General features: G+C 37.7%; 1 protein-coding gene across 11 annotated transcripts in view, besides 1 other annotated feature; it reads left to right on the top strand.

Moving 5' to 3' along the window:
* Positions 1–12,620, top strand: part of CDC42SE2 (CDC42 small effector 2) — a 184,621-nt gene that overhangs the window by 155,030 nt on the left and 16,971 nt on the right. The gene's annotated exons all lie outside the window — the stretch shown is intronic.
* Positions 10,478–10,527: a silencer, noted in NCBI's record as "silent region_16307". NCBI's record gives its function as "represses an Ori minimal core promoter by ATAC-STARR-seq in GM12878 lymphoblastoid cells {active_cell/tissue: GM12878}" and the evidence as "EXISTENCE:reporter gene assay evidence [ECO:0000049][PMID:35858748]".

Consider the following 12,620-nt stretch of genomic DNA (forward strand, 5'->3'; position numbering starts at 1 on the left):
GAGTTCGAGACCAGCCTGGCCAACATGGTGAAACCCTGTCTCTACTAAAAATACAAAAAATAGCTGGGCGTGGTGTCGCATGCCTGTAATCCCAGCTACTCGGGAGGCTGAGGCAGGAGAATTGTTTGAGACTGGGAGGCGAGGGTTGCAGTGAGCCGAGATCGTGCCACTGCACTCCAGCCTGGACTGGGCCACAGAGTGAGACTCTGTCTCAAAAAAAAAAAAGAAAACATCAAAGTTACTACTGCAGCCTCAGAGGATGAACCAACAATTCCCATGAAAGGTGGCTAGAGGGAACTCTAGCTGAGGGCACTCCATGAGGGGATTTATGTAAAACAGAAAAGTGATTGGTCAAATATGATGGATCTCCATAGCTACTATGCAATAATAACCTCGTATGGCACAGATTTGTATAGAACTTCCATTTTCAGGAACCACATTTTATACCCTAAATTAGGTATGAGTATAGTAAAAGTGTCAATTTTTTTCCTTCTTCTGAAAACACAAATGTGCATGTTCCTGATTTAATTTCACACATCACATTATAAAACCATAGTCATCTCAAAATGCTTAAACTAAATGGATTTACTTAATAAAAGAAGAAAATTAGCCTTATCAGGGCCTGGCGTGGTGGCTCACACCTGTATCCCCAGCACTTTGGGAGGCCAAGGCGGGCGGATCACGAGGTCAGAAGATCGAGACCATCCTGGCTAATGTGGTGAAACCCCGTCTCTACTAAAAATACAAAAAATTAGCCGGGTGTGGTGGCGGGTGCCTGTAGTCCCAGCTACTCGGGAGGCTGAGGCAGGAGAATGGTGTGAACCCGGGAAGCGGAGCTTGCAGTGAGTGGAGATTGCGCCACTGCACTCCAGCCTGGAGACAGAGCGAGATTCTGTTAAAAAATAAAGAGAAGAATATTAGCCTTATCAGTTGAGAAATGAAAACCCTACGTTTTAGAAAAACATCATAGAAGACTGATTCAAATGTTTTAACTGTACTACTAAACCTAGAAATTCTAAAGACTAGTATACTGGAACTACCTCCCCTGCCTTAGGACTGACTATTGCTATTTTCTTGTAGATAGTCACTTTGTAATGTAGTGGATGGTATTCACTGTATATTGTACCTCTTCAGCTCCTTTAATATAACTGTGGAGATAGTTTGAATTTGTCTATATGTACTTGAAAACAAACTAGAAAGGCTCTTTTCAAAACTGTGGAACAGACAGGTTCTGGTGTTCCAGTACTGTTGTCTGTGCCCTTAACCAATTAGGAACTGTTGGTAAGCTAGTGTCCATAGCATTCGGCGTGAGTTCAAGATGGGGAAAAGGGATAAGAAGGCAGTAGAAAGCTATTTATGTTTTGAAATTATAATGCTTTTATAAGTTTGTAAATGTCAGAGAAGAAATTTTGCTTTAATGTTTTTCGGTTGAGAATGGAGTTGATCTTTATTCAGTTCAGATTGGAGGGTTTTTTTTGTTTGTTTTTTTGTTTTTTTTACTACATACCTCAAGATGAAGCAAGCCATTTCTTTGTAAACCATGTGGTTGTTGCAATTTTTAGTTACTTAAAATGTGACATCAGCAAAAGTAATAATCTTTAAAAGAAAAATTAAATCTTCTTTCAAACTGTAATATATTTGGTACAAAAATTATAAAACAGGCCAGGTGCAGTGACTTGCACCTATAATCCCAACACTTTGGGAGGCTGAGGCGGGAGCATTGCTAGAGCCTAGGAGTTCGAGATCAGCCTGGGGTGTAACATAGTAGGACCTTGTCTCTACAAAAAATTTTAAAAATTAGCTGTGTGTGGTAGTGTGTGCCTGTAGGCCCAGCTACTCGGGAGGCTGAGGTAGGAGGATTGCTTGAGCTGGGAGGTTGAAGCTGTAGTGAGCCAGGATCGCATCCCTGCACTCCAGCCTGGGCAACAGAGTGAAACCCTGTTTCAAAAAACAAATTTTTTATATATATATATAATTTTATATGCTTATATATATAACAGGTCAAAATATACAATCAAATATATATGTGTGTGTGTGTATATCATATACATATGTGTGTATATATATATCATGTAATGATATATATATGTGTGTGTATATATATCATGTAATGATGCACAACAACAAACAGATATAAGCTCCTACCCAATACAGATGATCTGTTGGTGGACATTTGAGTAGTTTCTAGTTTTAAGTTTTTTTTCTGTTACAAACTGCTGTAAATTCTTGTACATATCTCAGTATATACATGACTTTGAGTATACTTGTTTCTGTAGCATATATATCTAAAAGTGGAAATACTGAATTGTGGGGTGTGGGCATGATCAGTTTCACAAGATAGTGCCAAATTATTTTGCAAAGGGATAACTGCTCCCACATTAATGTGGTATAGTTTCACTTTCACAACATCTTCATTAATGCTTGTTTTTTCACTTTTTAATTTTTGTCAGTCTGATGGGTAAGGTGGGATTTCATGGTATTGTTCTTTTCCGATTGCTAGTGAGGTTAAGCGAAGCACTTCTTCATGTGCTTGTTGCTCGGTATGGTTTCCTCTTGTGTGAAAGACATGCCTGTTCATGTCTTTTGTACATTTTTAAAATTTCTTATTTATTCATAGACTTCCCTCTTACGTTCTGAATACAAATTCTTTGTTGGTTATGTGTGATTTAACAAAGTACCTTTTTTGGCTTATATTTTTGTGCTTAAGAATTTTTTCTTACCTCTCATTCATAAGGATAATTCACCCAAATTTCCCTATAAAAGTGGAATAATTTTGCCTTTTAGAAGCCTGGAGTTGATTCTGTGGATTTTTGGAGAAGGGATTTAATTATATTTATTTTCCATGTGGGGAACCCTCTGTCCCACAGCGACTTCATAAGAAGTCTTTCCTGGACAGGCACGGTGGCTCACACCTGTAATCCCAGCACTTTGGGAGGCCGAGGAGGGTTGATCACGAGGTCAGGAGATCGAGACTGTCCTGGCTAACACGGTGAAACCCTGTCTCTACTAAAAATACAAAAAAATAGCTGGGCGTGGTGGCGGACGCCTGTGGTCCCAGCTACTCAGGAGGCTGAGGCAGGAGAATGGCGTGAACCTGGGAGGCGGAGCTTGCAATGAGCCGAGATTGCGCCACTGCACTCCAGCCTGGGCAATAGAGTGAGACTCCATCTCAAAAAAAAAAAAAAAAAAAAAGAAGTCTTTCCCCTCCCCACTGGTATGCAGTGTACATTATCAGGCTTCCCTACATGCATGAGTCAGACTCTAGATTCTGTTTGACCATTTGTTCATCCTGGTGCCAATACACGATGATACACAATGTCTTCTAGAGTTTGCATTAATACTGTTTTGATATCTGGGAGGGCAGATCCCTTTGTCTTTGTTCACCTTTTGTCGTGTTTTGGCCAGTCTTAGTCCTTGACTATTACAGATCAGTTTTAAAATTAGTTTGTCAGGTTTTCCATAAGGCCTGTTGGGATTTGGATTAGACCTGTATTGAATATAATTCCCATTTGTGAAACTGGTGTATCTTTATTTTTAAGCTATTTCCATAAAAGCTTTTTAAAACTTATATTTTTAAACATATTCAGAAGTAGACAGTAGTATAATGAGCCCTGTGTACCCATCTCTCAGCTTCAACAACTTTAATTCTTGTCTAATCTTCACCTCATTCCATCCACTTTATCCTTTGCTCTATTATTTTGAAGCCAAATCTGAGACATTATATCATTTTGTCCATAAATATTTCAGTATCCCTAAAAGATAAGGACTCTTATTTAACATAACCACAATACCATTATAATACCAAAAATTAATAATTTGAAAGGATTTATTTTACATATAAATGTACAGTATAAAAGTTATGAAACAAATATATTATGAAGCACATATTACTCGTTAAGAAATAGGACATTGCCAGCACCCCAGAAGCCTCCTTGTGTCCTTTCCAATTACACACGTGCCTGTTCCAACACCTGGAGGAACTGCTGTCCTGATTTTTATGGTAATCACTTCCTTGTTGTGTTTTACGATTTTACCATCTATGTATGTATCCCTAAACAGTATAATTTAGTTTGCCTGTTTTAACTTTAAATGGAGTCATTACTGGTTGTAATCTTTTGCGTTTTCTTCTTTCATCCAATGGTATATTTATAAGATTGATTCATATTGATGCAGATAGCTAATTTTTATGTTCATTTTTCTTTAATGTTTTCTTGTTTGGCTGTACCATAATAGATTTTTCCATTACAGTTCTTTTGATAAACCTAGTACGCGACTATTATGCACAATGCTCTTTTGTGCATTTGTGTATGTGTAGCCTGGTAACATGTGCCCAAGTTTTTCTAGGGTATATACCTAGGAGTGACATTACTGGGTCTAACAGCTGAGGAAGTTACCTTTACCAAGCAAAAGCAAATTCTTTTAGACTTGATGTTACCATCTTACATTCCCACCAGCTGTTTGAGTGTTCCATTGTGCCATATCCTCTTCAACACGTGGTATTTTCAGACTTCAAAATTTTTATCATTGGGGGAAGAATGTAGTAACAGTTTTTTGAAGGTTAGCCTTGTATTGTTTTGCATTTTAATATGAGAGTGAACAGTAACTCTGACTTATTAATAGGTTGTGAGCTTCAGGATTATGCACAAATTAGAGATTTATTGAAGTAGTAACCCCAGTTCCACACTTCCACACCCTTTGTCATCAGCATATTCCATTTCTATTACAGTGTAAGACTAATTATTTCAGAGTACAGAAAAAGACACATTTAGATAAACTGAAGCAGATTAAAGTGACTTTATAAGACAACATCTTTGTTTTTATGTTTAATTTCAAGTATGGTTAAGCACTAATTTAATTCAGTGCTTTCTGCTTATTCTGTTTCTAGTAACTCTTACAGAAACAAGTGTAGTCAGTAGCCAACATACATCCATGTCAGCCTATATATGACTTACTAGGAGGGCTTAGTTTTTTAAAAGAGATGAAAAATAAAGAGAAGGTCTAGTATTTTCCTCCCACATTCCAACAGATCATTTTATGTGCCCCCTTTGGGTGAGCACATTCCATGTTGTAGACCATTGATCATAGTAGTCAGAGCATGGAGCTCTGGAGTTCAGAAAAATTATTTTATTATTGTTGTTATGACAAAAATAATTACCATGTAAAGGAAAAGAAAAGAAACTCAGCGAAAAAATTTATGAACAAAAGAGAAAAGAAACTTATGGTTAAATAATTTTTAAAATAAATATGGCAAATGAGCATCAATTATTTTTTTTTCTATATGCCCATTGGAAAATATCATCTTGCCTCATCTAATAGGCAACGTTAAGTGGAGTCACTATGTGTTCCTCTTAACTGGAAGATTTCTTTCATTCAGTGTGAATACTGAAACATTTATTTTACCTTTTTTTTTTTTTTCTCCCCAGCAGAGACAGGGTCTTGCTTTGTTGCCCAGGCTGGTCTCAGGCTTCTGGCCACAAGTGATCTTCCTGCCTCAGCCTCCCAAAGTGCTGGGATTACAGGCATGAGCGACTTAGCCTGGTCAAACATTTCTTTAGTTGTTTGAAAGTCATCTGACTATATCTGTGAAATTATGTTTATTTAGAAAACATAGCCTTTAATTACAAATTCTGTTATTGTGTAAATGATGTGCAAATCTCCATCTTTTCATGAGGTGGCTAATGATTAAAATGGCCAAAGAGTTGCTTCTAAAACACCAATAGCATGAATTTTTTTTTTAAACTGACTTTTGGGGTTTATAAGCCTAGACACAACAAGAATGAAGAGGATTAAGCCTTTGTCTGTCTAGAGTTAGTGAGGATTGGGTTCTGATTCTCACGTGGCCTTGATGTATACAAATAGGAAAGAAAGGAATACTGGTAAGGAACTCAAAATTGCATTATTTTTCAAATCAGTAGTAGGGTGAGACTAGGTAGTGCATTGTTGTAGAAAAATAAAATGTTTTTGCTGATATGTATCTGTGACTAAAGGGAAGTTAGAACTTAAGTAATTATCTGGGATTTAATAATATAATGGTATTTTAATAACTATCTGGGGCTGGTATTTATGATGTTTATAATATATTGAACAGTTTTAGAAGCACTTTTTAAGAATCTGTTCATCTGTGATGTAAACAGATGGTATAAACCATTCAGTTTTCATCCTCTCAAACTTGTTCATATTGAGTAGGAAATATTACAGATATATTTTATTAGCAGTTCTCATGCAAGACAAATTCTAGGTCAGTTCTCAGTTCTCGGGGTACCCTAAAGTTTGGTCTGATCTCTTATCACCTTTGCACATAGTAAAAATTCTTCTGGTTCTTAGATATTTCTGGTATTTATGTTCCATCTACTTTTGTCTATTGAACTTTCTTATAGTTTCTTGAAAAGGTGTTATGCTTACATTCTTGTTTTAGCAGATGGGATATTGTTTGTTTTATATGTGATTTTGTTTTCTTTTGTGAAATGAAAATAATTTTCATCCAATCTTAATTTTAGATCTTAGAGACATCATAGGCAAACGTAGTCAAATGCATGTGGGCATGCGTGCATGCGGATTTGGAAAACTATAATAAGAAGTTAATTAGTAAACTAAGTTAAGATCAGTGAATTAGTGGCAGAGCCTTTTGCATTTTAAGACCAGTTTTCTTTCTAGTATATTTCAGTAAATTTTATCCAAATAGAAATGAACACCCATGTTGGATATAAAGTTGAATTGTGAGACTATGCAGATACAGCACTAGGTGATAAGTTACAGTGAAACAAGCAGTGTTTCAGTATTTCAGAAAGCGTTTCTTGCTACCAAGTGTTAATTATTATCTGCCATTTTTACAGACTTAGTTCAAATGCTTTCATATATATTAACTTAATGAGAAACATGTCTATCATTTTAATTTATTCGTTTCCCCCCCTTATTCCCCATCACTGTTTGTTTTGTTTTGGTTTTGGTTTTATTTGTTCTTGCAGTGTCTACCTGGGTAACAGTTGGGTGATGTCTTCATTGGGATCTTAACATGAACAAATACTTATGCATGTACCTGTTATGTACTTATGCATATATTCAAAAGTCATTAAGATACTGGTGATAGTGTTAGCTGTCTGTGGATCATTTGGGATAAGTAAACAGAATCTCCTCTACATTAAGCAAAAAAAGATATTACTCAATGCCATTTTTTTGGCCTACCTTATGACAGATAAAATTTTTAAGAAACCTAAGGCAAATGTGCTTTCAGGAGTACTTAGCTATAGGAAGTGATCATATTTTTAAGAACTCCAAGGTTCTTAAAAACCAAACAAGTTTTTCCCCTTTTCATGTGAGGGCTGGTTCTCTATTAGAGTTGGTCAGAAAGGCTGGGCGCGGTGGTGGCTCACGCCTGTAATCCCAGCACTTTGGGAGGCTGAGGTGGGTGGATCACGACGTCAGGAGATAAAGACCATCCTGGCTAACACAGTGAAACCCCGTCTCTACTAAAAATAAAAAAAAATTAGCTGGGTGTGGTGGCACGCACCTGTAGTCCCAGCTACTCGGGAGGCACTGAGGCAGAATTGCTTGAACCTGGGAGGCGGAGGTTGCAGTGAGCCGAGATCACGCCACTGCACTCCTGCCTGGGTGACAGAGTGAAACTCTGTCTCAAAAAAAAAAAAAATGTCAGACAGATCCGGATTTGAATTCCAGAGCTGGTACTTATTTATTTACTGTTTGACCTTGGGCAGATTAATTGAATCCCTGCAAATGAGAATAATGACACCTGTCTCATAGGATTCAAGATAGGTAGTGAATTAAAATATATTAAGATAATTTATGTAAAGTGCTTAGCAGAGTGCATGGCATAAGTGAATGCTCTTATTATGGATGTTGAGTTGATAAATTGCAATTTGCTCTCATTTTAAGTAATGGGCTTTTAAAATTTTGCTTTTATCCCCATTGGTTATATTCAAGTACATTTCTTTTTGAAATGAACATGACCATCAAACCTTAAAGAGCTGGTCTCTTACCAGCAATATTTTGTTCTCATTTGATTTGACGTTAGTTACCACAAAGAGAGATATAGTTATCTCAACATAAGAGAGGATGTTGGACTGGGTTTATATGTATATTTTCTTCTTTCCTGAAACCCTACTTCACAAGACATTAAAGGAGTTTAAATAACAAAAAGATAAAACCTACAAAGAAAAAGAGAGTGAAGAGGAGAGAGAACCGTGGATCAGATATAATAAAAAAATAGATGGGATGGTAGAGTGGGAACCTATTTAGCTGAGTGAGCCACTGCCTAACTGCGTACAGAGGGGGATACTGATAAGCAAGCCAGCCAGCCAGCATTCTTCACCTGCCTTCATCTTAGAATGCCTGCAGCTAGATTCGAACTCTTCTGTCTGGACTTCAGCAGGTCCTTTTCTAGAGAGCCTACTGCCATCACAGAAGGGACCTGCTGATAACCTGCAATTGTGGTTTCCCCAAGCAAAAAGTGAGCTCACCATCTGATCACTGTTCATTGAATTTACAGTTGAACATGACCCGTGCACACTAAGCCTCGTTTGGATGGCCTGTGTTCATTAGACAACAGAAAAGCTAAAAGGAATGAACTGAATAAAAGAACTCGGAAGAAATAGATGATACAGGCAATAGGAAAGAACTAAAAAACAAAACAGAAAACATGAATAGGTCTCAGATGATAAGACACTGGATTCACTAAACAAGAACAACATGCCTACAAAGGAAGCGAGAGAGAGAAGGAACAAATCGATAACAAGAAACGATGCTTGGAAATAATATGATAGCTGAAATAAAGTAGTGCATGAGAAGGCTGGAAGATGTAGTTCATTCTTCCAGCAAGTAAAAGAAAAATATAAAGAAATGTAAAGTAGAAGGGAAAATTAAGAAAGTTAGATGATCAACCCAGGAAGTACAAAATCTGCCTAAAGTTACAAAAAAGAGGACAAAAGGCATTGGAGGATAATAAATTATCAAAGTAATACTACAGGAAAATTTCCCTAGTAAATTATCAAAGTAATACTAGGGGAAAATTTCCCTGAACTACAAAACAAAACAAAACAAAAAACAGTAGTCTCTTGGTTGAATGAAAAAGAACCCATACTACTGAGTGAAATTTCAGACTATCTGGACAAGTCACTTAGCTATTTAATCGGTTATACCACGAGATACTTATGGAGGGTATTAGAACAATTAATGATAGTTTCATTAAAAGGTAAGCAAACAACTTTGGGAGGCCAAGGCAGGTGGATCACGAGGTGAGTTCAAGACCAGCCTGGCCAAGACGGTGAAACCCCATTTCTACTAAAATTAGCTGGGTGCGGTTGCAGGTGCCTGTAATCCCAGCTACTTGGGAGGCTGAGGCAGGAGAATCACCTGAACCCGGGTGGCAGAGGTTGCAGGGAGGCGAGATCGTGCCACTGCACTCCAGCCTGGGCAACAGAGTGAGACTGTCTCAAAAAAAAAAAAAAAAAAAAAAGTTAAGCAGACATTGTGTGTAAAATTTGTGACAGAATTTTTTTTTTTAAGCTAAGCAAGCCAGAAGCAATTCCAGTGCAAAGTGTGGTGTAAGAAAAATTAATTATAGTACAGTACTTGGCTCAATTGTAAACACTCTTCACATAGAGTTAATATAAACACTTGATTTTTGTATTTCAATTTTATATAGTAAATGTTTGGGGGGAATTATATGACTTGCTTTGAAACACAGTTGTTCACACAGTGATGTGAAGGAAACAACAGTGGACAAGGAAGACTCCCAGATCTGATTTTAGTTAGCTGTGGGACTTTGGCAAGTAATATCTTCCTAGGTACATTGTACATTGTATACATACAGTGTATAGAAACAATCCCAGATGGACCCATAGTGACAGAAATTTCTAGTGAAAAGTTTTTAACACCAATGATATTAACAATATCATTAATACTTGAAAGCTAGTTCAGATTAGTTTCTCCCCTCCTTTTTTTTTTTTTTTTTAACCTATTTTGTGCTTCAGTTTTCATACTTGGAATATGTGACTTAAACCAGATACTAATTTTAAATAGAAGGAGAAAAAAACTGTTTTCACTTCAGGTTTCTCACTGAGAGATGAGAACAACTAGTTCCTTCAATTTTGCTTTTAGCAATTTGGCCCTTGAAAAGGTCACTATAGATTTGCTTAGAGATTCTTTTTAAAAACATTTGGGGGTCTCCTGCAAACTTCTCATCTGTCAAAAGCTGCAAAATACATACTGAGTAGGAAAAGGTTAGTTACCTACTAAACCCTAAAGGACAGATACCGACAGCACCACACTTAAGATTGAATTGTAAATGCATTACCAGCAACTCACCTATTTATTTATGAATATTTCCAACACAAAATATCTTTCCTTTCTGTACTTTGACTTAGATAATTCTCTGCTTATAATACTAGCTGGTTTTGGTTTCTCTGTGGTGATCTATGGTGTGACTCTCATCTCCTCTGGAGAGAGCTCCTTATATAAGCTCTGTCACCTGAGGGCCACTGCTGGCATTCCAGTGAGTGAGCTAAGCTCTAGAAGCCAGACAAGTAGAATTATTTTTCCCACCGTAGAAGATACAGTACAAGTTCATGTATAGAAGAAGTTTATTATTTTCTCAAGTTTTGACCTAAGTATGAGAATTTGGAATCCAAAGTAGGCTATTCAGTTATTGAAGAGCAGATATTTTTCCAGTCTCTGCAGTATCTAAAACCTTGTTTCTCTTTCATTTGTCCCTTAACATATTAGAGATTTTTTTGTCATATTCTTAGAAACTAGACTTCCACAGGCAGTTTTATCAACTCAGATTACCACCCATGGGAAGGCTGAATTCAGCTTCTTTAACATGAATATCCAGGACCTGGACACTGTTAAGACTCCCATCTTGGCCAGGCATGGTGGCTCATGCCTGTAATCTCAGCACTTTAGGAGGCCAAGGTGGGTGGATTAGTTGAGGTCAGGAGTTCGAGACCAGCCTGACCAACATGGTGAAACCCATCTTTACTAAAAATACAAAAAATTAGATGGGCATGGTGGTGCATGCCTGTAATTCCAGCTACTCGGGAGGCTGAGACACGAGAATCGCTTGAACCCAGGAGGCGGAGGTTGCAGTGAGCTGAGATTGCACCACCGCACTCCAACCTGGGTGACGAATGACTCTTGTCTCAAAAAAAAAAACAAAAAACCTTTATTCAATAGAGAGTACAAAGGTGAACAAATGAGGACTTCTGAGCAGTGGCTGAGACAAGAAGTGAGAGTTTGCCAGAGGATCCCAGATTTGAAGGGAAGGTAAAATGTCATATACTGCTATAGAAGGTACTAGCAAATGAGTTCATGGCTTTAAAGTTCTTGGAACTGTGCCTGGTATCTTATAAGTACTCTTTATTACCCACTTTTACTTTTTAAATATTCAGCTGTTAATCTTTATTTTTTAATTTACCTTTGAGGTTCAGGGGGTACATGTGTAGGTTTATTATATAGGTAAACTGAGTCACAGATTACCTGCTGTACAGATAATTTCATCACCCAGGTAATAGGCATAGTAACCATTAGGTCGTTTTTTGATCCTCTCCCTCCTCCCACCCTCTACTCTCAGATGGGTCCTGGTATCTGTTGTTGCCTTCTTTGTGACCATGTGTACTCAATGTAGCTCCCACTTACAAGTGAGAACATGTGGTATTATGTTCCTGTGTTAGTCTGCTTAGGATGATGGCCTCCAGCTCCATCCATGTTGCTCCAAAGGACATGGTCTAGTTCTTTTTTATGGTTGTGTGGTATTCCATGGTGTATATGTACCACGTTTTCTTTATCCAGTCTACCACTGATGGGCATTTAGGTTGATGCCATGACTTTGCGATTGTGAATAGTGCTGTGATGAACATATGTGTACATGTGTCTTTATGGTAGAATGATTTATATTACTTTGGGTATATACTCAGTAAGGGGGTCCTGGGTCAAATGATACTTCTGTTTTTCACTTCTTTGAGAAATTGCCATACTGCTTTCCACAATGGCTAAACTAATTTACATTCCCACCAGCAGTATATAAGTGTTCCCTTTTCTCTGCAGCCTCACCAGCATCTATTATTATTTGACTATATGTAATTTTTTTTTTTTTTTTTGAGACAGAGTCTCTCTCTGTTGCCCAGGCTGGAGTGATGTGATCTTGACTCACTGCAACGTCTGCCTCCCGGGTTCAAACGATTATTGTGTCTCAGCCTCTCGAGTAGTTGGGACTACAGGGGTGTGCCACCACACCTGGCTAATTTTTTGTATTTTTGTAGAGATGGTGTTTCGCCATGTTGCCCAGGCTGGTCTCGAACTCCTGAGCTCAGGCAGTCCGCCCGCCTCAGCCTCCCAAAGTGCTAGGCTTACAGGCGTGAGCCACCACGCCTGGCCTGACTTTTTAATAATAGTCATTCAGCTGTTAATCTTTAGAGCCAGTGTTTTCTATTAACCATTAAGCCATCAATATCACTTGGAATCTTGTTAGATATGCAAATTGAAGCTCCACTCCAAACTTGCTCAATCTGAAAATCTTCTGTGACTAGAGCTCAGAAACCTGTATTTTAACAAACCTTCCAGGGATTCTGATGTACACTGTAGCTTGAGAACCACTGCTTTACAGGTTC

Source organism: Homo sapiens, chromosome 5 (assembly GCF_000001405.40).
Source record: "Homo sapiens chromosome 5, GRCh38.p14 Primary Assembly".
NCBI classification, from domain to species: Eukaryota; Metazoa; Chordata; class Mammalia; order Primates; family Hominidae; genus Homo; species Homo sapiens.